The 26,206-nt window shown below is 41.7% G+C and overlaps 1 protein-coding gene and 1 pseudogene across 26 annotated transcripts in view, besides 2 other annotated features; one reads left to right on the forward strand and one right to left on the reverse strand.

Moving 5' to 3' along the window:
• The window catches only part of ZNF138 (zinc finger protein 138), a 66,396-nt gene that overhangs the window by 36,363 nt on the left and 3,827 nt on the right, over positions 1–26,206 (forward strand). For 12 of the 26 annotated variants that reach the window (NR_160271.1, NR_073391.2, NM_001367572.1 and 9 more), the window contains one exon: positions 661–2,890. Coding sequence is in view for 17 of the 26 variants with exons in the window: in NM_001367572.1 (NP_001354501.1) it covers positions 661–1,412 (752 nt within the window). In the remaining 9 variants the exon portion in view is untranslated. Of the gene's footprint in view, positions 1–149; positions 287–660; positions 2,891–21,008; positions 23,008–26,206 lie in introns of those variants that run through there. The other 14 variants (NR_160270.1, NM_001367574.1, NM_001367573.1 and 11 more) reach the window with 4 other exon arrangements.
• Positions 18,586–19,169: a transcriptional cis regulatory region, noted in NCBI's record as "candidate enhancer chr7.2319 targeted for multiplex CRISPR interference". NCBI's record gives its function as "positively regulates ZNF273 gene expression with high confidence in K562 cells {active_cell/tissue: K562}" and the evidence as "EXISTENCE:mutant phenotype evidence [ECO:0000015][PMID:30612741]".
• SEPHS1P1 (selenophosphate synthetase 1 pseudogene 1) lies at positions 20,530–22,659 on the reverse strand (annotated as a pseudogene).
• Positions 24,676–25,232: an enhancer, noted in NCBI's record as "H3K4me1 hESC enhancer chr7:64315844-64316400 (GRCh37/hg19 assembly coordinates)". NCBI's record gives its function as "activates a minimal SCP1, AML or CMV promoter by ChIP-STARR-seq in naive H9 embryonic stem cells {active_cell/tissue: H9 hESC(naive)}" and the evidence as "EXISTENCE:reporter gene assay evidence [ECO:0000049][PMID:30033119]".

Raw genomic sequence — 26,206 nt, forward strand, 5'->3', positions numbered from 1 at the left:
CATTTGTCTGGCTAAAGATTCTGAGAGTCTTTCAGACATGTTCTTAGGATGTGTCAGGTCTGAAATTTTTTAGGGTTTTTTTAGTTCATTCTTGTTTCATCTTAATAGTCAGTAGTCACTTGCTACAACTGTTCCCTGTCTCTTTGCAGCTGTAGCATTTACCTTTGATCTCAGTGGACTCAACATTTTGTCATTCCAAAGTATCCTGCCATTTGTTTCAGCACTTTATGTCATGGGAAACAGAAACCAGTGTCTGCAAAAGCACCTAGAAGCCAGAAATAAAGATGTATGTGTTATTATTTCTCTTGCCTTTTGAAAAAGAAACCAAGAGTTGGCAGTTTACTTCTAGAGGCACTATGTTATATCGGGGAACAGAAAGAGCTGTGTTGGGTAAATGTAACAGACTTTTCTCTCTCTTCTGTGTGGCTCTTTGCATTGTGCAAACCTGGGGCACTGCACACACTTAACTCATTTATTCTCCACAGATATGTTTTGGTATGTTTTTGTTACATTTATATGTCTATAAAGGAATTAGAACCTGTGGTATTTTGCTATGCCATCTTGCTTATGTAGTTTGTATGATTTTATAGGTTAGATTTGTAAAGTATATTCATCTGAGTCTAGCAGGTGGAGTAATTTGTTATTTTTTGTTTCTTTCAGCTCTGTGTTCTCGTTTTGCCCAAGACCTTTGGCTAGAGCAGAACATAAAAGATTCTTTCCAAAAAGTGACACTGAGCAGATATGGAAAATATGGACATAAGAATTTACAGTTAAGAAAAGGCTGTAAAAGTGTGGATGAGTGTAAGGGACACCAAGGAGGTTTTAATGGACTTAACCAATGTTTGAAAATTACCACAAGCAAAATATTTCAATGTAATAAATATGTAAAAGTCATGCATAAATTTTCAAATTCAAATAGACACAAGATAAGACATACTGAAAATAAACATTTCAGATGTAAAGAATGTGACAAATCACTTTGCATGCTTTCACGCCTAACTCAACATAAAAAAATTCATACTAGAGAGAATTTCTACAAATGTGAAGAGTGTGGAAAAACCTTTAACTGGTCCACAAACCTTTCTAAACCTAAGAAAATTCATACTGGAGAAAAACCCTACAAATGTGAAGTATGTGGAAAAGCCTTTCACCAATCCTCAATCCTTACTAAACATAAGATAATTCGTACTGGAGAAAAACCCTATAAATGTGCACACTGTGGCAAAGCCTTTAAACAGTCCTCACACCTTACTAGACATAAGATAATTCATACTGAAGAGAAACCCTACAAATGTGAACAATGTGGCAAGGTCTTTAAGCAGTCCCCAACCCTTACTAAACATCAGATAATTTATACTGGAGAGGAACCATACAAATGTGAGGAATGTGGCAAAGCTTTTAACCTATCTTAACAACTTACTGAACATAAGAAAATTTACACTAGAGAGAAAGCCTACAAATGTGAAGAATGTGGCAAAGCCTTTAACCAGTTTTCAACCCTTATTACACATAAGATAATTCATAGCGGAGAGAAACCCCACAAATGTGAAGAATGTGGCAGAGCTTTTAACCAGTCCGCAAAGCTCACTGAACATAAGTTAATTCATACTGGAGAAAAACCCTACAAATGTAAAGAATGTGGAAAAGCTTTTCACCGATACTCAATCCTTAGTACACATAAGAAAATTCATACTGGGGAGAAACCCCACAAATGTGGAGAATGCGGAAAAGCCTTTAACTGGTCCTCAACTCTTATTACACATAAGATAATTCACAGTGGAGAAAAACCCTACAAATGTGAAGAATGTGGCAAAGCTTTTAACCAGTCCTCACACCTTATGAGACATAAGAAAATTCATAGTAAAGAGAAACCCTACAAATGTGAACAGTGTGGCAAGGTCTTTAAGAAGTCCTCAACTCTTACTGCACATAAGATCATTCATACTGGAGAGAAACCTTACAAATGTGAGGAATGTGGCAAAGGTTTTAGCCAACTCTCAAACCTTACTAAACACAAGAAGATTCATACTAGAGAGAAACCCTACAAATGTGAAGAATGTGGCATATCTTTTAACCAGTTCTCACAACTTGCTATACATAAGATGATTCACACTTGAATGAAACCCTACAAATGTGAACGATGTGGCAGTTGTTTTAACTAGTTCTCGAACTTTACTATGCATAAGAAAATTCAAACTGGAGAGAAACTCTACAAATGTGAAGAATGTGGCAAAGCTTTTAACCAAGTCTCAACACTTACTATACATAAGATAATTTATACTGGAGCAAAACCTTGGAAATTCAAAGAATGTGGTAAAACTTACAATCCTCAAAACTTCTTACACCTAAAATTCATGCAGGAGAGAAACACCACAAATGTGAAAAATTTGGTAAATTCTTTAACAAGTCTTCAACCCTTTCTGCACATAATATAATTCATACTGGAGAGAAACCCCACAAATATGAAGAATGTGGTAATGCTTTTAACCAATTCTCAAATCTTACTAAACAAAATTAATACTGAAAATGTTACAAACCAGAAAAATGTGAAAATGATTTTAACAAAACCTTCAAATTTTTCTAAACATAAAGGAAATCATACTGGTAAGAAATTATAAAAATGTGAAGAATGTGACAAAGCCTTTAAATGGTTGTCACACTTGATTGTAGGTAAGATAATTCATACTGGCAGAAACTCCCAGAAGTGTGAAGAATATGGCAAAACTTTAATTCCTATACCTTATTGCACAGGAAAGCATTTATACTTCAGAAAATGTTGTACTGATATAAAGAATGTAGAAAAGCCATTAATATGTGCTTACATCTTATTCAACATTAGAGAGTTAGTACTTAATAAAAGCATTATAAATGCAATTACTGTCAAAACTCAGCATAAGGTTTTGTTTTAGTGTGTGGTTTGTTTGTTTGTTTGTTTTGTTTTGTTTTTTTTAAATGAGACTACGTAATACTCTCTCCCAGGCTGGAGTGCACTGGTGCAATCTTGGTTTACCGTAACCTCTGCCTTCCAGGTTCAAGCAATTCTCCTGCCTGGGCCTCCAGAATAGCTGGGACTACAGGCATGTACCATCACGCCCGGCTAAGTTTTGTATTTTTTAGTAGAGACAGGATTTTACTGTGTTGGCCAGGCTCATCTCGAACTCCTGACTTGAAATGATCCATACACCTCTGCCTCCCAAAGTGCTGGAATAACAGGTGTGAGCCACTGTTCCCAGCCAATATAAGCCTTTAAAGTAAAAAAAGAGTTTTTATTTTGAAGACAAACATTAGAAACATAAAGAGGGTTGTAGTGCCTGCCTTACTTGTATCACAGATCTTATTGTACACATTTTGTATCCGAAGCAGTTGCTCAAACTTCGTTCAACATCAGGGAATTTATATCGGAGAAAAACTACAAATGTAATACATTTCAAAAATTTTTCAAAAACTACATCTTAGAAAACACCAGGGGATGCATACTAAACTATATTTTTCCACATGCAGTAAATATAAAAAAAATCAAAAATAAGGCTACGTAAGTATCAGAGAATTCACAGTAAAAATATCTAAGGCACTGACACTTCAAACATTGCACTAAGTAAATGTGCTGAGTATATAAAATAACCCAAAACTAAAGTGGGTAGATAAATTATTTGTACATAACTTTAAAAGAAGTAGAAATATTTTTGCAGAGTTACAATTACATTCAAAGTATACTTTTTTCCTTGAAAAAAATTGCAGAATTTATGAAAAGTGAATAATGTAATTCAACTCAAATTACTTCATGCTCTTCATTCCTATTGCATTCACTAGTGAAAGCATGTGATCAATTGTTGCTGCATCAAAGGTATGAGAGATTCTTTTTTGTTATGTCAATATTGTTTTTGAATTTTTCTATGGAAGAGTAAAGACATTACAATGTAGGATGCATGACAAAAGTCTAAGTGGAGAGGCTCTTTGTGTTTAATTTATAATATTGAGTGATGTATGAGGTAAGTGTTCAGAGTAGTATTCTGCGTTATACTCCAAACAAAATAATTTTAGTTAAAATTAATTAGTATATAATTTTACTAATTGTACTTTTATGTAATAAAATGCAGTACAGTTTGAAAGGCAATGGAAGGGCACCGTGGATCAATAAGGCCAAGAGGCGAGACAAAGAGGGCAAAAATCTTTATTGAGCTCTCGGGCGAGGTTCACTGGTCCACAGGGGGAGGGCCAGGGAAGTCGCACTGTGCCAAAGGTGCAGCGCGCTTTTATGGATGCTGGGTGAGGAGTGGGCAGGGTAGGGGCGGGGTCGGTTGAGTTTCACACTTCTGAGTGTGACACGCCCTAGTGGGCATGCGCGTTAGTCGGGGTGACGGGAACAGGAAAGGTGAACCCGGAAATGCTGAGTCGGGGTATCTGAGGTGGTGATCGCCATCTTGGAGTCTTCACTGGAGTCCAATCAGTCCAGCCTATTTTTGGTTATAGAAAAGGGGCGACGAAATCATCTGGCTACTTCCTGCTGTTAAGGGGTGTCACTGGGGAGAGGGCCTAAATCAGAGGTTGGCAGTTGGACGTAGGGGTGAAGTAACATCTGGTTGAAAGTGACCCTGGTGATTTCTTGTATCCGCTGGCGGAGAAACTGTACTAGGATTGGGGCAAAACACATTATTATACAGAGAATTATAATTGGGATAAGGAAAGGGAGCATCTGTTGAACCACAGGTGAAAACCACCAAGAAGGACCAGGGTGGAGAGGGTCCTAGGAATGTTTTAACTCCTCTTGGATCTTTTTTTTTTAAAGTTTGTAAATTGGTCTCAACTACCCCTGACACGTTGAGATAATAGCAGCATTCTTCCTGTAAGAATAAACATGTCCCTCCTTTTTCTGCTGTAAGCAAGTCTAAGGCCCGCCTGTTCTGTGCTGCGACCTGTGCTACCGAAGTGATCTGTCGCTGTAGGGAGGCCAGGGACTCGGCCGATGCCTCAATGGCCAACTGCAGGCGAGTAGACAGATCTTGAGATGTTTGGATTGAGTGGGTGAGGGCTCCTTTTCCTAGCCCTGATGCCACTAAGGAGGAGGCTAAGGAGATGCCTAGTACTAAGGGTAGGAAAATAGCCCGTTTGCTTTTATTTTGCAGCCTTGGCTCGGTCCAGGCTAGCAGATGGCTAAGTTCGTCCTGACTATATAGGGTCAGGCTAGGGATGAGAGAGACGAGTAAGCACAAGGTGTGATTACCAGTTGAGTTAAGAACTTTAGTTAGTGTGGAGTTACACCAGAAGTAGCCTCCGGGTGGTGCCAGGGCGCTGGTAAGCATCCTGGTCTGGTTACACCAAGAGGCATTTGGGGTAGAGTAACAGAACGGGAACTTGTGTCTTGTAGGGTCTGAGAATAGTGGGACCTGTCCTTTTGGGACCGGTGGTATAGGGGTGGATGAATTTCTTGTATAATTAAAGGGGGTAGGGAGAGGAACTGCTACTAAGGGAGGTCTTCCGAGGGCTGCACAGAGGAAGCAGTGGGAGAGGTTTTGTACCCCTGTGGATTGGAGCAATTGTGCACCTTCTGAAATTAAAAACCACGAGAAGGGGGAGGACTTGGCCTGGTCAGCTGCCGGTTGAAGCTGGCTGGCAAGCTCTTTCTCGGCTGACTGGATTGAGGAGGCTAAGTCGGATAACCCTGTGACAGTGGTTTTAAGGGTCCTGGCAATGCGGATCTTAGCTACTGGATACATAAAAGTTCTGTGCTCATATAGTCCTCCATCTACACCAGAGGCCCAGCGGGGGTCCTAAGGGTCAGAGATTTGGAGGTTAAATCCGTTAAAGCCGTCCCATCCTCCAGTGGAGGTACTGACATAGAACATTGGGTCAGATCCTTTTTCAGTACGAATTAATGCCTCATGGATATTGCACCAGTGCCACGGACAGCCTACATTTTCTTTGACCCAGCTGGTATTGCATTTGGAGTTACTTTGATCATACAGGAAGCAAAGTGCAGGGTTTTTTCTAGCCTGGCCTAGGGAAGAGAATTTTAGACCTAGGAAAGCTATGGGTGCCTGGCACCCTGCTGGCGGGCATGCTGCCATGGCTAGTAGTCTAGGAGACTGCCTGTGTGGAACTCCAATTCTCAGTGAGGGGAAAAAACCCAGTGAGAGGGAGTCTGAGAGGGGGCTTGTCAAAGCGAACTTCATGTTGGTGAAAGTTCTGGAGGGAGCCTTGCCACACCAGTTCGTCTATATAGGACAACAGATTTTCAGGCCAGCGAAAGGTGTTAGCAAAAGTAGGGAATGACCAGCTTTCCTCGAGAAGAACCTGAATAAATTGTTGGAGCCTGTCACATGGAGAATTCATGCGGTATTTGATTTAAAGAGTTTCAGTTTGGTTGGGGGGAGGGAAGTGACAGTCCAAGTGGCCTGATGTTGTGTAGGTGCCCTCTTAAGATGGGAAATATGGTACCAGGAGGGAAGGCCTGTAAGTTTAGCTGCCGTCGGTGTTGTAAGAATTACCATGTAGGGGCCTTTCCACGGGGGGAGAGACCTCTTGCCTGGAGGTCTTTTACTAGTACCTGATCTTCTGGGGTTATTATGGCTGGACTGTCTGGGCTGAGCGGTCCGGGCTTTGGAAGGCTGCAGTTGGCATGTTCTCTTAGCAGCTCCCTTAACAGGGTGAGGTAGGGCAGGTACGTGCCAAGAGGTGGGGTATTCACAGGGAGCTCTTGAAAGAGGAAGGGGCGCCTGTATAGGAGTTCAAAGGGGCTAAGGCCTGTGGGGCTTTGGGGTGCTGCCCAGAGCCACGCGAGGGCAAAGGGAAGTAAGGTTACCCAAGATTGGCGCGTCTCGAGAGCCAATTTGATTAGGTGTTGTTTGACAAGGCTGTTGGCGCGTTCCACTTTTCCAGAAGACTGCGGATGGTATGGAGTGTGTAACTTCCAGTTAACGTCAAGTGTGGTTGTCACCTGTTTGACTATTTTGGAGATAAAAGCAGGCCAAATCTTGGGGTTATCTGTTCGATGAGGGTTGAAGCTACTACCTCTGCTGTTTTATGAGTGGTAGGGCAGGCTTTAACCTAACCTGAGAAAGTGTTTACTAAAGTAAGAAGATAAGTTGATGTATTTGCTTTAGTAAGGAATAAAGGGAAGGATGGTAGATTATGGGTTCAAGAAAGTTATATAGTGGTCTAGGCGGAAGGGCAGTGAAGGCGTCTGGCGGTAGGTGGAGGGAATGCCATCAATCCTTATAACAGAGATTGAGGAGGGGCGGCTGGGTCTGCTAAAAGATGGCAAAACAGAGTAGGTAGCCCTTGTGTCTAGTAAAAAGGAAATGGACTTACCCGCTACCTGAAGCATTACCCTGGGCTCGGCAAGGGTGAGAGGGGTTCCCAAGTCTGGGCCTCTTCAGTCGTCATCCAGTTGGAGGAGCTGGAGGGCACCTTCGCCATCCGAGGAGGGGTCGCCATGTGGAGACACAGCGGCCGCTCCGAGGCCGGGGCAGTCTGACTTCCAGTGCCCCATTTGTTGGCAGTTAGGGCACGGGCGTGTTGGCGGCTTGGGGTTTGGGCACTGTTTTGCCCAATGACCTGGATTGCCACACTTGAAACAGTTGCAAGGCAGGCAGGACGGTTGCTGTTGGCTAGGGCACCGGCTGGCCGTGTCCTGAGTTGCCGCACTTGAAGCAGGTGCCAGACGGGGCCTGGGAGATCGTACCTCTACCTCTCCTGCTGGGGCTCTTAGGGAATGCCGGTTGCAGGGCAGCTGCCAGGGCTTGGGTTTGGAGCTGAACTTTTTGTTTCAGTCTTGCCTGTCGTTGTACCTCAGCCGCCTCCTCTCGGGAATTAAAAACTTTGAACGCCAGCTTTACTAAGTCCTGGATAGGGGTTTGGGGGCCCTCCGCTGCCTCATCCAGGATTAGCGGATATCACTGCCCGCAGCGAATGTGTTAGGAGTTGTAGATGTAGTGGACTGGTATGGCACTACAGGGAGGTGGAAATAAGAATGGGGGTAAGATGGAAGCCAAGGAGTTAGGTGGGCAGGGTTAAAAGAACAAATGGGAACTAACAGGAATTAAAATGGCGGCCAAATGGCGGCAGAAGAACTAAAATGGTGGCAGAGAAAAAAGGAAGTAAGATGGCGGCGGTGAGGAAGCAGGTAGTAAGATGGCAGTGGTGCAGAAGGAGATGGCGGCGGAGAGACTAAGATGGGGGCCGTGGACAAGATTAATGGCAAGAGAGGCTGGTCAGACTTCAAGGGGAAGGCTAGCCAGAGGGACTTGTGCCAGCGAAAACACTTGGCGGCAGCGGTCTGACGAGAGCGGAGGTCCCAGAACCTTTGAACAAATTTGATTTTTGACTATTTGCCTCGCCTCTGACAAAAATTGGTAAGGTCGTTTAGGATATTGAAGTTGAGTGTGCCTTCGGGGGGCCAGCGAGATTGGTTGTCTAAGGTATATTGCGGCCAGGCAACTGTGCAGAAGAAAATTAGTTGCTTTCGTTTTAAATCTTGGTCGAGTTGTAAAGTTGGGAGGTTGCGCAGGAGGCACCCTAAGGGGGTGTTTTGCGTGATTTTGGACTGGGTGGACCCCATCCTCTTCCCTTTATGGCAGCCGTCTGAGGGACAGCAGAAGCGTCCTTCTGGGGTCACTCAGACCACGCAGCTCCTGGAGCCTCGGATCGGCTACTTCAGACACAGACGTCTCTGAGTCGTCAATGCCGATTTGGACTTCCCCTGGGGAAGTAAACTTGGGTCTCCTGGTGACCCGGACTGGCCTTCCCTTGAGGAAGGAAACTCTCCCTGGGTGTGCGCATGACTCTCGGCCAGGGAGGAATGGACAAAAGGAAAAAGGAGGGGTACTCACCCAGCGTCTGCCGAATTGGACTGGAGTAGCTGCAGCAGCTGTGACCTGGCGGCAAGTAACCGGACGAAATGGACCGATGGCCGTGGAGGAGAAGCCTGACCTGACTGAGGGAGAGGCCTGATCCGACCAGGAGGGGAGTCTTCCCGAGCCTCTGGGGGGCTTAGGAGGTGTCCCCTCCCGTGTTTCGGCACCAATGAAAGGCAATGGAAGGGCACCATGGATCAATAAGGCGGAGAGGCGAGACAAAGAGGGCAAAAATCTTCTTTATTGAGCTCTCAGGTGAGGTTCACTGGTCCGCAGCGGGAGGGCCAGGGAAGTCGCACTGTGCCAAAGGTGCAGCGCACTTTTATGGATGCTGGGTGAGGAGTGGGCGGGGTAGGGGCGGGGTCGGTTGAGTTTCGCGCTTCTGAGTGTGACACGTCCTAGTGGGCATGCGCGTTAGTCGGGGTGGTGGGAACAGGAAAGGTGAACCTGGAAATGCTGAGTCGGGGTATCTGAGGTGGCGATCGCCATCTTGGAGTCTTCACCAGAGTCCAATCACAGTTTTAAAGATTTAGATTATTATAAACTTAATTTTTTAATTAAAAATTTTAACATAAGACCACTGTGCATTCAATGAAGTATTATTATGCCACTAACTTTTACCTATCCTACCTTACTCAAGGGTGTAGGTCAAAGATGGTAACAATAGACTATTTGATAACATAATGGACTAACATCTCCAATAATTTATTTTGCCAGTGGCTTCAAACTGCAAATAAATTAATGAATATCGTTCCCGTTGGTTAAATTTTTTATTTATAATTTAAACTTATTTTTCTCAATTTTTGTGTGTACATAGTATCTGTTTATATTTATGTCATTATATGGCATTTTTTGATACAGTCATATAATTTATGTATTAATCAGATAAGGGCAAATGAAGTTTCCATCAACTCTAGCATTTATCTTTTGGATTACTAACCCATTCTACACTTTTACTTACTTTAAAATGTACAATTAAATGCTACTGACTACAGGGTCATTTTTATGAGTGAAATAAAAATTATTTACAAGTATAAATAAAACCCTGAGTCTTAAAATTCTGAGTTCTGCTTAAACATTTAAAAAAATTTGTTATGTATTTTTCTTTGAACATTTGGTCTCTCTCTGCCTGCAAACATACAGAATTTTAGTTTTAATTTACATAAAATTAGCTATGCACGTATGTTACTCTAAATAAACCTTAGGTGCAAGAAAATTATAGAGTATATATGAGGATGAGTCTGTACCTATTTTCAGAAGAATAGAGCAATATTGTAACAAAACAAATATTTTAATAAGGTGACTTATTAACTGAAACTGAAAACCTCAAAAATGCTGAAAGCAAATCTATACTCTGCTTTTTTTTTAAATTTATTACTGTAAAATCTTCTGACTTAGGGTTCAGAATCTCCCCATGAAAAATTTCTGTTTTTCCTTGCCTAGTACTCATGCTAGACCTATAATTTTCTTGTCTCTTACGATTTTTTCTTTTATAGTTTATGAGGTATTCATTACGTGAGCTGGTCATGACTAATAACGATTTTTATAAAATTTAATGCACACTGAACAATTTTTAGATGTATTTCCAAAATTGTGTATTTTATTAGGACATTTGATTTTTTCTTTTAATTGGAGAATTCTACATAAGCCTGTATTTTTTAACTTTTTTTGTTCTCATTATAATTGACATAAATATATTTATTGAGGCAATTTGTTCAGATAAGAACTCGGGATGCTTCATAAGTCATGATGTTTTTTAATATATAAATGTGGCGAACAAACATGACAGTGCTTGCTGTGTAGCAGATGCTCCATGATAAGCCATAAATATTCCTGCTAGAGTTAGTTTGTAAGTTCAAGTCGGAGAGGGAAAATATCAATAGTGAAGAAATAAGATTGATTCTTCCCGTGGAGATAACAATTGTTTTCATGCTGCGAAGCTAAATATTGCTGAACCTAAAGAGAAACTCTGTTTCTTTTATTTCCTAATTATCTTTAGTTTTGTTTGTCTTATTATGTGTCTTCTGTGTATTCATCACAGCCCCTCTCCCTTTTTTCTACGTGATTGCTACAGTTTTCTCATTGTCTTCATGCCATGTCATTTTACATGGTACTTTGTAGGTTTTGATGAGAAAGTTGGTATTTTTAATGCACTCAAAAATTGGTTTTAGTTAGAGAGTTTGCTTATCAATATAACTTTCAGATCAGTTAATTAAGATAAAACGCATACACTGTCCATAGATCAGAGGATTAAATAACTTAGCATTGTTTTTCTGTTTGTAAACGGAAAATCTTATTAAATTCTTACACAGAGTGTGACACATTTAATATTTGCTAGAAAATGCATCTTAGAAATTAAATTATTAAGAGTTAGTGGTGAGGAATTTTAAATTTAATGTTCTATGATATAGCACAACACAGATTTATTTATTTATTTATGAAATGGAATCTTGCTCTGTCACCCAGGCTGGAGTGCAGTGGCGTGATCTTGGCTCACTGCAACCTCCGCCTCTTGGGTGCAAGCAATGCTCCTGCCTCAGCCTCCCTAGTAGCTGGGATTGCAGGTGCCTGCCACTACACCCAGCTAATTTTTGTATTTTTAGTACAGACGTGGTTTCACCATGTTGGCCAGGCTGGTCTCGAACTCCTGACCTCGTGATCTGCCCTCCTCTGCCTCCCAAAGTGCTGGGATTATAGGCGTGAGCCACTGTGCCCTGCTGAATCTTTTATTTTTAAGTGTGAATGTTAAAGGTTGCAAAATAATAAAATGACCTCTGTGGATTTGAAATTTGGAATAATATTTCTTGTCCATATTGATATTACAACTCAGAGGAATTTCACCCTGTTATTTTATGTGTCTTTTTAGTGAGTGAAGGTCAGTGTACAGTTTATATTCTTAGTCACCTGTCGTCAACTTCTTGGTCATTTTCTCTGGAAAAATTCTGGAGATGATGGCAACTTTTAGATTATTTTGTGTTACTTTTTATGCAAACTTGTTCATTGTGTTCCCAGAGTGGCCAGTCATAAGTCTGTAAGCAACACCTTCCCTTTTAGTGTCTTCCATGTCATCACCATCTGTAATAAATAAGTAAATGTGTATTTATTTTGTAAAACATAATACTTGGAAGTATATATACATTGTCAAATGCTTAATTCTAGGTAGTTACCTCACATAGTTAACATTTTTGTGGCAAGAGCATGTGACATTGTCAGCATTTTTCAAAACTACAAATACATTATTTTGATCTATAGTCACTATGCTGTACAAAACAATCTCTTGAACTTATTCTATTAACTATAATTATGTATTTTTTGATCAACATCTTTTCAAACCCTCCTTTCTCCTAAATAACTTGTGTCTGGTGGCCACCACTTTACTTCAATAAGATTAAGTTTTTTAGAATCCCTTTGTAAGTGAAATCATGAAATAATAATCTTTGTGCCTGGCTCATTTCGACAAATATAATGTTTTCCTCCAGGTTAATTCGTGTGATTGAAAATAATAAAATTTCCTTCTTTAAAGATGAATAGTATTCCATTGTGTGTATATACCACATTGTCTTTATTTACTCATTAAATGTTGAAACCACTGATTTTATATTTTGGTAATTGTGAAGAGTGTTGTAAAAAACAGGCACATGTTTCTTCATTCTGATTTCGTTTGTTTTGGATGTATAACCAATAATAAAATTGCTGTATTTGGTGGTTTAATTTTAAATTTTTTTGAGAAATCCTTATTTTGTTTTTTGTAATGACTGTCCTCATTCACATTCAAACCATCAGTGTGCAAGCATTGCCATTTTTTCACACCTTGACTAACACATTTTTAAAATAGGAGTAATTCTAACAGAAATAAGTTGATATAGTTTTTTTTGCTTTCCTTTCCCTGATAATAACTGATATTGAGCATTTTTATGTGTCTCTTGACCATATGTATGTCTTGAAAAATATTTAAGCCTTTCATTCTTTTTAATAGTCTTTTGTCATATAGTCATTTGAGTTTCTTATATATTTTTGATATTAACCCCTTGTCACATGAATGATTTGCAAATATTTTCTCCATTTTTTTAGTTGTCTCATTTTGTTGATTGTATCAGATTCCATGCAGCAGCTTTTTAATTTGAACTAATCTGACTTACCTATTTCTCTTTTGATTCCCTGGAATTTTGAGGTTAGTTTATTTTTTTTATTTTTTTGTTTTTTGAGATGGAGTTTCGCTGTCACCAGGCTGGAGTGCAGTGGTGTGACCTTGGCTCACTGCGTCCTTCACCTCCCCAGTCCAAGAGATCTCCTGCCTCAGCCTCCTGAGTAGCTGGGACTACTGGTGTGCGCCACCATGCCCAGCTAATTTTTGTATTTTTAGTAGACACAGGGTTTCACCATGTTGGCCAGGCTGGTCTCAAATCTCTTGACTTTGTGATCTGCCCGCCTTGACCTCCCAAAGTGCTGGGATTACAGGCCTGAGCCACTGCGCTGGCCAAGGTTAAGTTTTTAAAAAGTCACTGCAGCCTAGAACTCCTGGGCTTAAGATGTCCTCCCTCTTCACTCTCCCAACTAGCTGGGACCACAGGCCCAAGCCTGTGTGCCCAACCTGTTGTTATTATTTTTAATGTTTGCTAGTTCCAGGGGTGCACAGAGATTTAAAGGGCACATTTTCTCAGGGTTTGGGCATAACATGAGCACTGGGAATGGAAAAGGTCCTACAGTGCCCAGAAGAATAGAGTCTGGATGTGGGTCTTACCACTCCCTTTCTCAATTTGATTCATTCTTCTTTGAGGAGACAGTGATAGCAAAAGGGAACTTGGGCTTGGGGTTGGAGGGTCTGATTTTAGGTCTGGAGTCGATCTCTGAAAGGCTATGTGAGATTGGCACTGTCTACAACCTCTCTTCTGCATCCGCAAAATGAGAAAGGTGAGGCTGGATGAGCCCTGAGGTCCCTTTCACTCTTTTTAATTTTTTATTTTTTTTTAATTTCCATAGGTTTCGAGGAACAGGTGGTATTCAGTTACATGAGTAAGTTTTATGTGTTTTTTTGTTTTGTTTTGTTTTGTTTTGTTTTTATGAGACAGAGTCTTGCTGTGTCACCCAGGCTGGAGTACACTGGCACAATCTCTGCTCACTGCAACCTCTGCCTCCCGGGTTCAAGTGATTCTCCTGCCTCAGCTTCCTGAGTAGCTGAGATTACAGGTGCAAGCCACCTCGCTCAGCTAATTTTTGTATTTTTAGAAGAGACGGGGTTTCACCATGTTGGTCAGGCTGGTCTCGAACCCCTGACCTCGTGATCTGCCCGCCTCGGCCTCCCAAAGTGTTGGGATTACAGGCGTGAGCCACCGTGCCTGGCTGAGTAAATTTGTTAGTGGTGATTTGTGAGATTTTGGTGCACCCATCACCTGAGCAGTGTATAATTAACCCAATTTGTAGTCTTTTATCTCTCACCTCCTTCCCAACACTCCTCTCTGAGTCTCCACCATCCACTGTGTCATTTTTATGCCTTTGCATCCTCATAACTTAGCTCCAACTTATGAGTGAGAACATACAATGTTTGGTTTTCCATTCCTGAGTTACTTCACTTAGAATAATAATCTTCAGTCCTATCCAGGCTGCTGTGAATTACATTAATTCTTTCCTTTTTATAGGTAAGTAGTATTCCATCATATATATACTACAGTTTATTTGCTCGTTGATTGATGGGCATTTAGGTTTGTTTCACATTTTTGCAATTGCAAATCATTCTGCTATAAACATACATGTGCAAGTATCTTTTTTGTATAATAACTTTTTGCTCCGGGTAGACACCCAATAGTGGGATTGTTGGATCAAATGGTAGTTCTACCTTTAGTTCTTTAAGGAATCTCCACACTCTTTTTCATAGTGGTTGTGCTAGTTTACATTCCCACCAGCAGTGTAGAAGTGTTCCCTTTTCACTGCATCCACACCAACATTTATTATTTTTTGATTATTTGATTATGGCAATTCTTGTGGGAGTAAGGTAGTATCACATTGTAGTTGGGATTTGCATTTCCCTGATTATTAGTGATGTTGAGCATTTTTTCATATGTTTGCTGGCCATTTTTATATCTTCTTTTGAGAATTGTCTTTTCGTGTTTTTAGCACACTTTTCGGTGAGATTGTTTTTTCCATGCTAATTTGTTTGAGTTCATTGTAGATTCTGGATCTTAGTCCTTTGTCAGATGTATAAATTTTGAAAATTTCCTCCCACTCTGGGTTTTTGTTTATAGTTTTAGGTCTTAGATCTTAGATTTAAGTCTTAGATCCATCTTGAGTTGATTTTTGTATAAGATGAGAGATGAGGATCCAGTTTTATTCTTCTACATGTGGCTTGCCAATTATCCCAGCACCATTTGTTGAATAGGTTGTCCTTTTCCCACTTTATGTTTTTGTTTGCTTTGTCAAAGATCAGTTGGCTGTAAGTATTTGAGTGTATTTCTGGGTTCTCCATGCTGCTCCGTTGGCCTACGTGCCTGTTTTTATACCGGTACCATGCTTTTTTGGTGACTGTGGCCTTATAGTACAGTTTGAAGTTAAGTAATATGATGCCTTCAGATTTGTTGGTTTTGGTTGGTCTTGCTTTGGCTATGTAAGCTCTTTTTTGGTTCCATATGAATCGTAGGATTGTTTTTTATAGTTCTGTGAAGAATAATGATAGTATTTTGATGGGAATTGTGTTTAATTTGTAGATTGCTTTTGGCATTGTGGTCATTTTCACTATATTGATTCTACCCATCCATGAGCATGGGATGTGTTTTCATTTGCTTGTGTCGTGTATGATTTCTTTCAGTAGTGTTTTGTAGTTTTCCTTGTAGAGGTCTTTCACCTCTGTGGTTAGGTATATTCCCAAGTATTTTGTATTTTTATGCAGCTGTTATAAAAGGGGTTGAGTTCTTAATTTGATTTTCAGCTTGGTTGCTGTTGGTATATAGCAGAGCTACTGATTTGTGCACATTGATTTTGTATTGTGAAGCTTTGCTGAATTTATCAGTTTTAGGAGCTTTTTGGAGGAGTCTTTAGTGCTTTCTAGGTATACAATTATATCATCAGGAAAAAAAATACAGTTTGAGCTCTCTTTACCAGTTTGGATGCCCTTTATTTCTTTCTCTTGTTTGATTGCTTTGAGTAGGACTTTCAGTACTATGTTGAATGAAAATGGTGAGAGTGGACATTTTTGTCTTGTTCCAGTTCTCAGAGAAAAATGCTTTCAACTTTTCCCCATTCACTATTATGCTGGCAGTAGATTTGTCATAGATGGCTTTTATTTCATTAAAATATATCTCTGGTATGCCAATTTTGCTGAGGGTTTTAATCATAAAGGGATCCTGGAATTTTGTCAAATGCTTTATCTGCATCTATTGAGATAATCGTGATTTTTTGTTTTAATTCTGTTTATGTGGTGTATCACATTTATTGACTCCACATGTTAAACCATCCATGAATCTTTGGTATAAAACCTACTTGATTATGGTGGATTATTTTTTAATATGTTGTTTGATTTGGTTAGCTAGTATTTTCTTAAGAACTTTTGCATCTGTAGGCTGGGCTTTGTGGCTCACACCTGTAATTCCTGCACTTTGGGAGGCTGAGGTGGGCAGATCACTTGAGGTTAGGAGTTTGAGATCAGCATGGCTTACATGGTGAAACCCCATCTCTTCTAATACATATATATATATATATATTTTTTTTTTTTTTTTCTGCAGTTCTTGGTTAGAATGTTCTGTAAGTAACTGTTAAGCCCGTTTGTTCTAGGGTATAGTTTAAGTCCATTGTTTCTTTGTTGACTTGCTGTCAGTGGAGTATTAAAGTTTTCCACTATTGTGTTGCTGTCTATCTCATTTCCTAGGTCTAGCAGTAATTGTTTTATAAATTTGGTAGCACCAGTGTTAGGTGCATATATATTTAAGATTGTGACATTTTTCTGTTGAACAAGGCCTTTTATTATGATATAATGTCCCTCTTTGTCTTCTTTAACTGCTATTGCTTTAAAGTTTGCTTTGTCTGATATAAAAATAGCTACTCCTATTTGCTTTTGGTGTCTATTTGCATGGAATGTTTTTTTTCCACTCCATTACCTTAAGTTTATGTGAATCCTTATGTTAGATGAGTCTCTTGAAGACAGCAGATAATTGGCTGGTGAATTCTTATCAGTTCTTCAATTCTGTATCTTTTAAGTGGAGCATTCAGGCCATTTACTTTCAATGTTAGTATTGAGATGTAAGGTACTATTTTATTCATTGTGTTATTTGTGGCCTGTATACTGTTTTTTTTTAAATTGTATTTTTGTTTTATAGGTCCTGTGAGATTATGCTTTAAAGAAGTTCTGTTTTGACGTGTTTCAAAGATGTGTATCAATATTTTGAGCTCTTTTTAGTAGTTGTTTTAGTGCTGGCTTGGTAGTGGCAAATGCTCTCAGCATTTGTTTGTCTGAAAGAGACAGTATCTTTTCTTCATTTATGAAGCTTAGTTTCACTGGATAAAAAATTCTTGGCTAATAATTGTTTAATTTAAAGAGACTAATGTCCCAATCTTTTCTAGCTTGTAGGGTTTCTGCTGAGAAATCTGCTCTTAATCTGATAGGTTTTTCTTTCCAAAGTTTTAGACTTCTCTTTCTCGTCAGAAACACCAATTATTCTTAGGTTTGCTCACTTAAAATCATTCCAAACTTCTTGGAAGCTTTGTTCATTTTTTCTCATTCTTTGTTTCTTTGTTGTTGTTGGGTTGGGTTAATCCAAAAACCTTGTCTTCGAGCTCTGAACTTCTTTCTTCTGCTTGCTTGATTCTATTGCTGAGACTTTCCAGAACATTTTGCATTTCTCTAAGTGTGTACTTCATTTTCTGAAGTTGTAATTGTTTTTCGTTTATGCTATCTATTTCACTGAAGATTTCTCCCCTTATTTCTTGTATTTTTTTTATTTTCCTAAGTTGGACTTCACCTTTCTCTAGTGCCTCCTTGATTAGTTTAATAACTGACCTTCTGAATTATTTTTTCAGGTAAATCAGGGATTTCTTCTTGGTTTAGATCCATTGCTGGTGAGTGTGATTTTGGTGGATTTTTTTTTTTTTTTTTTTTGAGACAGTCTCGCTCTGTCGCCCAGGCTGGAGTGCTGTGGCATGATCTCTGCGCACTGCAGGCTCCACCTCCCGGGTTCACGCCATTCTCCTGCCTCAGCCTCCTGAGTAGCTGGGACTACAGGTGCCTGCCACCACGCCAGGCTAATTTTTTGTATTTTTAATAGAGACAGCATTTCCCTATGTTAGCCAGGATGGTCTCAATCTCCTGACCTCGTGATCTGCCCAGCTCGGCCTCCCAAAGTGCTGGGATTACAGGCATGAGCCACCACACCTGGCTGGGGGGAATGTTAAAGAACTTTGTTTTGTCATACTACCAGAATTGTTTTTCTGGTTCCTTCTCATTTGGGTAGGCTATGTCCGAGGGAGTGTCTAAGTGTCAACACTACTGTTCAGATTATTTTGTCCCATGGGGTATTCTCTTGATGTAGTACTCTTCTCATTTTCCTATCAATGTGGCTTCTTGAGAGCCAAGCTGTAATGATTGTTATCTTTTTTCTGGATCTAGTCACTAGGCAGGTCTCCAGGCTGGTACTGGGGGTTGTCTGCACAGAGTCCTGTGATGTGAATTGTCTGCAGGTCTCTCAGCTGTGGATATTAGCACCTGCTTTGGTGGAGGTAGCAGGTGATGAATTGGACTCTGTTAAGGTCCTTAGTTTTGGTTGTTTAATGCACTATTTTTGTACTCGTTGGCTACTTGCCAGGAGGTGGCGCTTTAAAGGGAGCATCAGCTGTGGTAGTATAGGGAGAATCAGGTGGTGAGTGGGGTCCTAGGACTCCCAAGAATATATGATATTTGTTTTCAGCTACCAGGGTGGGTAGGGAGGGAAGATCATGTGGGGACATGGGTAGGCATGTCTGAGCTTAGCCTCTGCTTGGGCGGGGTTTGCTGCAGCTGCAGTGGGAAGTGGGGGTGTGGTTCTCCGGTCAATAGAGTTATGTTCCCAAAGGATTATGGCTGCCTCTGCTGTGTCATGCAGGTTGTCAGGGGTGTGGGGGAAAGGGGGAGAGCCAGCAGTTACATGACTCACCCATCTCTCATGCAACCCCAAAAGCAAGACTCATTCCCACCATGCTCCCCACCCCCAAGAGCACCGAGTGTTCTGCCAGGCAGTGAGGGAACAGAGCTAAGAACTTGCCCCTGGCTACCAGCCTCCCAGCTGCAAAAGCAAGCAGGGCTTTTGTGCCTTGCTGCCTGTGGAGTCTGCTCACCCAATTCACACCCTTTCCGAATTTCTGGTCAGGAGACTTCACGTTTGGTTAGAATTGTTAGAAAGTTCAGCTGGAGGTTTCCTTCTCCCTGTGGTCCTTTCCAAGTTCCCCTGGCAGCCCTCCCCAAGGGCCCCTTTGACGCAAGTCTAAAATGGCTTCCCAGAAGACTCAGAGCCCACCGGGCTTTTCCCACTTCTTCTACCTCTGTATTTAGCTCAGCTCTCTAAATTGACTCAGCTCCAGGTAAAGTCAGATTTCTTATTCCATGTTCTAGACTTTCAGGTTCCCCAGTGAGGGTATGTGTTCAAGGGCAGACTATCCCTTTTTCCCACTTTCACATCTTGAACACTATCAATATTTTGGCTGTCTGCCAGGTCCTGTTGGAGCAGTTTGCTTCCGTCAGAGGGTCTTTGGATTCTCTCAGCTCTCCTGGTTTATTCCTGCAGTACTTCTGGAGAAAAGTTAATGATGCGAGTCTCCACATACTGCTCTGAGTGGGAGCTGCAATCTAGCCCTTGCCTCCTGTTCGCTATTTTTTCCCCCAGAAAAGGGGTTTTTAAATTTCTCTTTATTTCTACTAATTTAGAAAATTCAAAGCCAAAAATGTTGGGTCAAAAATAAAAAGTAGCATTGGATGAGAGGGTGTTGGGCATAATGGTTAAGATTGAAACGCCGTATCAGGTGGTTCCTTGTTTCATTCCAGTTTTGCCATTTATGGACTATATGACATGAATACAGTTTCTTGATCTCTCTGTGCTTGACTCTTCAGCTCTTTACTGCCTAAATCATAGGGTTTTGGTAAAATTAAAGCAGTTAATACAAATAAATGTGCCCAATAAGTCCCCAGCACATAGCAAGTGTACAGGAAATTTATTCACTCTTATTTATTGATTCTTTTAGATCATGATTAATGTTAAACCTAAAAACAAGGTGGCCACATCAGTGGTTTGTAACCCATGTTTCTTCTAGTCAGTCTGGGGGTATAATAGTAGTTGAATGTTTTAAATACTATCCTTTTAAAAATATATATATTAATAGCATTTTTCATTCACCAGAGTTCTGTACATTATGGGGTACAATGAGATATTTGAATATATGTATATAGTATGAAATGATTTTGTCGAGTTAAATAACAACTTGCTTACCTATCATTTTTTTGTGGTGAGACACTTGAAATTTACTCTTAGTTATTCTGAAATATACAATACATTATTGTTTACTATAGTCACCCTGCTGTGCAATAGAACTCAAAACCTATTTATCCTGTCTATTTGAAACTTTGTATTTTTTGATCAACCCCTCTCTGTTTCCTTCCCACCACACCCAGCCTCTGGTAAAGATTATTCCACTTTGTACTTTTTTGAGTTAAACTTTATTCTTTTTTTTATACAACAGCAATTTAAAAAATTAAGTATTTATTTGAATAACAAGTTTAAGTTTGGGCTGCAATGTTGGCAATGCAGGTTTTTAACACAGATCACAAAAAGCGTGCACAAAAATGTACGAGCGCAAAGGACAAAATAATGCTAAGAATTACGCTAAATAGCTGCTGATTTTAAGAAAACAAAAGGCCTGAAATCACTATACAAAATATAAAATGTATTAAACACTACCATCCACAGAACAGTCTTTATTATTGATTATATTTAAAAATTATTTGCGTAATTATATATTGAATTGTAAATGAGTATTATACATGAACCTCCATTTGGAAGGCAATTCCTTGTAGCACTATAAAATACCTAATTACATTGCAAAAAGTATCCTTTTTTTGCTATCGATAAAGAAAACAGTTAATGGTATTACTGTAAATGTCAGGAAGCCTCCAAAAAAAGAAATAAGATTTCTTTTTTGTCTTCAAAGTGTTTTCCAAGCAGTGAAGCACTTGCCGTGTTGAACTGAATGCACTACTGGAGAATGTTCTGGGTCCAAGATGCTCTTGAGAGAAGACTAGGCTTTTCAAATCAAACACTCAAAGGAATCATGCAACCCTCTTATGACTGGGATGCCGTCATGTGCCACTGACCAATGCTATCTCTCCAGAAAACCATTCAAGACTCTTAAAAAATCAGACTTATAATAAATATACATAAAATGAAGACACCAACTGCTCTTTGACATGACTACGATAATGTCTGTGCTATGTGGAAGCACATTTAAAAAGAGCCTATTCGGCAAAAGGTAAGTGTCTAAAGATTCAAAATGTATCAACAGTATTGGATAACAATATAATTCTCAACTCAGAAGCTGCCTCAAGATTAGGTGCATCTTCAGTTAATGTGACAGGAAAAAAAGGCATGGATTTTATTTTATTAATTGTATCCACTTACAAACTGACCTAAGGTCACCTGATATGTAGATACAGTGAGATTTTTGTTGCTTATAGTCTTTAATTGAAGCGATGATAAAGGAAATAGATCTATTTAAAAACAAAACCAAACAGCTATTTCTGCTTAGATTAAGAGGTGGCCCCGGGTGTGGGATTCACATTTTGAGTGGCCACTTGTGGTGCAATCTCGATGATCAGGGGTTTGTCTATGATTCTGGCTGTGTGGTTGCCCTTCTCTACAATCCCAATAATCCATGCTTGGTGGTCTTCACCATATTTGGGGGACTTTATCTCTGCACAGAACCGAGCTGTTTGCTCACATGGTAAACAGATCAGAAGCCCGCCTGTCCTGTTGAGCCTCGCCATGTTCATCATCACCTCCTCGTAGGCCAGCTCTACATCTTCTTGGGTGACCACTAGTTTAATATTATTCCATTTCTTAGGAATATCCAGCCACTGATGCACAGCCACTGCCCCCTGTGTCCCCAGGGGTTTTGTCAACACCAGCACATCCCCTGGTACTGCATTGTCTGGCATGATAAATTCACTGGGCTGACAGACAGTGGTAGTGACTCTTCCCAGGACAATCCAGGGGTTTAGTACTGTTTGGCCGCCCATTACAGACGTTTCTGCCTCCTCAGCTGCGTCTTTAAAACCTTGGATAATCAGAGGCATCACTTTATCCATTTCCCTGTTGGTCATTTTATTACTGACTCCAAGGAGCATCAGCATATTGTCACATTCTGTGACCCCCATTGCGTAGAGGTCACTGAGGACATTGGCACATGCTATCCTGCCTGTCACGTAAGAGTCGTCTACAATTGGGTAAATGTAATCTGTAGTTTGAACCAAGGAAAGCCCACCGTGTCTCAAAGGAATGACAAGTATCCATTCCAATGCCAAGCCTTGGCATAAAGGCTCCCAGAAACTGCTCATCTTCTTGGAAGTGGTTCTGTAAAGATTCCAGCAATTTTTGCAGGACATCTTGGGGCACTTTGTAGCCTGTGCCCTTCAGTTCAGTGAATCTGGTTAGCCGGAAGCTTTTGTCCAATTCGTAACTTTCCGGGTTAAAGGACTCCCATGTAGATATGGTTGTTGGGCCCCACTCTCCTCACAGCTCAGCCCCTCCCTTCCCTCTGCGAGTTGGCTGGGTTCTTTATGGATCCACCGGCTCGCTTTGCGCCCCGAGTTAAACTTTTTTCTATATATATGAGATCATGTAGTATTTGTCTTTCTATGTCAGGATTATTCCATCTAGTATGCTGTCTTCTAAATTTATCTATATTGATTCAAATGATGAAACTTACCACCTTTGAAGGCTGAATAGTATTCCATTGTGTATCTATACAACATTTATTTTAAAAAATTAAATATATTGATTGAAAAACTCATGTGTTATAAAAGGGCATTCCCGTCTTAAAGCACATACTAGTGTACTTCAGCATATACATATCATATTAATCGTTAATTTGTACTGAGCATTAACCATAATACTTTAATGTGTTAATAAATTTAATTCTCACAGTAACTGAATAACATAGGTGTTATTATCCTCAGTTTGCAGAGAAAGAAACACAGCCAATATTAAAACACAGGCAAATGTGTCTCCAGAGATAACACTCCTTAGTATAACAATAAAAACCATCTTTAATCGTTTGAACCCAGGAGGTGGAGGTTGCAGTGAGCCGAGATCGAGTCACTGCACTCCAGCCTGGGTAACAGCAAGGCTCTGTCTCAAAAAAACAAAACAAAACAAAAACCTCTTTAACCAGAAAAAAAAAAATAATTATTTTCACACTCACTTTTAATAAAAATTAACAAAAATTGAATAATTGGTTACATTTTCATTGTTTAATGTTTTTGTGAATGTATAAAATGGTACACAAGGAATAAATAAGCCAGAAAACTTAATATTTTTAGAGGATTCTACTATACTGTAATAAAATATTGAACTTTAAACACACACACACATACATATGTACTTCTTTTTTTTGGAGACAGAGTCTCACTTCATTGCTCTGGCTGAAGTGCAGTGACGTGATCTCAGCTCACTGCAACCTCCATCTCCCAGGTTCGACTGATTGTCCTGCCTCAGCCTGCGAAGCAGCTGAAACTACAGGCACACACTACCACACCTGGCTAACTTTTGTATTTTTAGTAGAGATGAGGTTTCACCAACTTTGCCAGGCTAGTCTTGAACTCCTGACCTCAAGTGATCGGCCCACCTCGGCCTCCAAAAGTGCTGGGATTATAGGCGTGAGCCATCACACCTAGTCATAATATAAATATTGCTTGAATGCATGAACATTTATGTAGATATTTGCTCTTAGATTAACATGACAAAAGTAACAATTAGAAAAAAACATTTGAAATGGGATAAAACTAGTCAAAACCACATCTTTTCAATGGCTTGGCATAATTGACATGCTTTTTGAAATGGCCAGATTACTGACAAGAAGCAAAGAGAAGATTTAGACTTCGGTCTATCGTTAAGGTTTTTATTTTTGAAATCTAAAATCCTGGCTAAAGGATTTGAAGAGAGTATTCTTTAGGTGGCTTCCTAGGGTTTTCAAGGCAATACAAATAATTTTCATGGGTAGGAAAATGCATACTATATACATACATTGCTTTTCTCTGATTTAACATTAAAAGATTGAAGATTGCAAATCTAATCTCTCAATTTAGAATAAATTAAAGGATTTATTTTTCAGCCAAGCAAATAATTATATTGAATTAATAGGTAACAAATGTCATTAGCTGACAAAAGATAGTATGACTAGATTCAGTAAGTATGTAGCCATGTAACTAACAGTCCATTAAATTAAGGCCCTTATAGGTGCGTGTGGACATCATTTCTGTACAATGTCATGCACCTCCACCCAGCACCTTCATTTGCCTGTTTACAGAGATACCAATTTCCCCTGAGTGACTCAGGGTGAATACTAAGAATTGAGAATGCTGTGTTCAGAGGGATTACTAGGAACATATTATAAAGAAATTCTGTAAATCTTACTCTGCCTCCCAAAGGCTATTAGTAAACAATTGTTTATTTACAGTGCTCAATTGAATTCATGGAAAATTTCAATATTCCTGGTAAGTCAGAGACGCTTAAATGTCAACAAAATTTCATAATACATACATGAATGAGATAAAGTCTTCTTAGTTAAGAATTTTATTTTATCTTGCGTGCAAAAATGTAAGGGGGCCTCTCCCTCTCCCTCTCCCTCTCCGTCTCCCTCTCCCTCTCCGTCTCCCTCTCCCTCTCCCTCTCCCTCTCACTCTCCCCACGGTCTCCCTCTCATGCGGAGCCGAAGCTGGACTGTACTGCTGCCATCTCGGCTCACTGCAACCTCCCTGCCTGATTCTCCTGCCTCAGCCTGCCGAGTGCCTGCGATTGCAGGCACGCGCCGCCACACCTGACTGGTCTTGGTGGAGACGGGGTTTCGCTGTGTTGGCCGGGCCGGTCTCCAGCCCCTAACCGCGAGTGATCCGCCAGCCTTGGCCTCCCGAGGTGCCAGGATTGCAGACGGAGTCTCGTTCACTCAGTGCTCAATGGTGCCCAGACTGGAGTGCAGTGGCGTGATCTCGGCTCGCTACAACCTACACCTCCCAGCCGCCTGCCTTGGCCTCCCAAAGTGCCGAGATTGCAGCCTCTGCCCGGCCGCCACCCCATCTGGGAAGTGAGGAGCGTCTCTGCCTGGCTGCCCATCGTCTGGGATGTGAGGAGCCTCTCTGCCTGGCTGCCCAGTCTGGAAAGTGAGGAGCGTCTGCGCCCGGCCGCCATCCCATCTAGGAAGTGAGGAGCGCCTCTTCCCAGCCGCCATCACATCTAGGAAGTGAGGAGCGTCTCTGCCCGGCCGCCCATCGTCTGAGATGTGGGGAGCGCCTCTGCCCCGCCGCCCCATCTGGGATGTGAGGAGTGCCTCTGCCCGGCCGAGACCCCGTCTGGGAGGTGAGGAGCGTCTCTGCCCGGCCGCCCCGTCTGAGAAGTGAGGAGACCCTCTGCCTGGCAACCACCCCGTCTGAGAAGTGAGGAGCCCCTCCGCCCGGCAGCTGCCCCGTCTGAGAAGTGAGGAGCCTCTCCGCCCGGCAGCCACCCCATCTGGGAAGTGAGGAGCGTCTCTGCCCGGCAGCCACCCCGTCCGGGAGGGAGGTGGGGGGGTCAGCCCCTGCCCGGCCAGCCGCCCCATCCGGGAGGGAGGTCGGGGGTCAGCCCCCCGCCCGGCCAGCCGCCCCGTCCGGGAGGTGAGGGGCGCCTCTGCCCGGCCACCCCTACTGGGAAGTGAGGAGCCCCTCAGCCTGGCCAGCTGCCCCGTCCGGAGGGAGGTGGGGGGGTCAGCCCTCCGCCCGGCCAGCCGCCCCGTCTGGGAGGTGAGGGGCGCCTCTGCCCGGCCGCCCCTACTGGGAAGTGAGGAGCCCCTCTGCCCGGCCAGCCGCCCCGTCCGGGAGGGAGGTGGGGGGGTCAGCCCCCCGCCCAGCCAGCCGCCCTGTCCGGGAGGGAGGTGGGGGGGTCAGCCCTCCGCCCGGCCAGCTGCCCCGTCTGGGAGGTGAGGGGCGCCTCTGCCCGGCCGCCCCTACTGGGAAGTGAGGAGCCCCTTTGCCCGGCCAGCCGCCCAGTCTGGGAGGGAGGTGGGGGGGTCAGCCCCCTGCCCGGCCAGCTGCCCGTCCGGGAGGTGAGGGGCACCTCTGCCCGGCCGCCCCTACTGGGAAGTGAGGAGCCCCTCTGCCCGGC

The sequence above is a fragment of the Homo sapiens genome, chromosome 7 (genome assembly GCF_000001405.40).
Source record: "Homo sapiens chromosome 7, GRCh38.p14 Primary Assembly".
Lineage (NCBI taxonomy): Eukaryota > Metazoa > Chordata > Mammalia > Primates > Hominidae > Homo > Homo sapiens.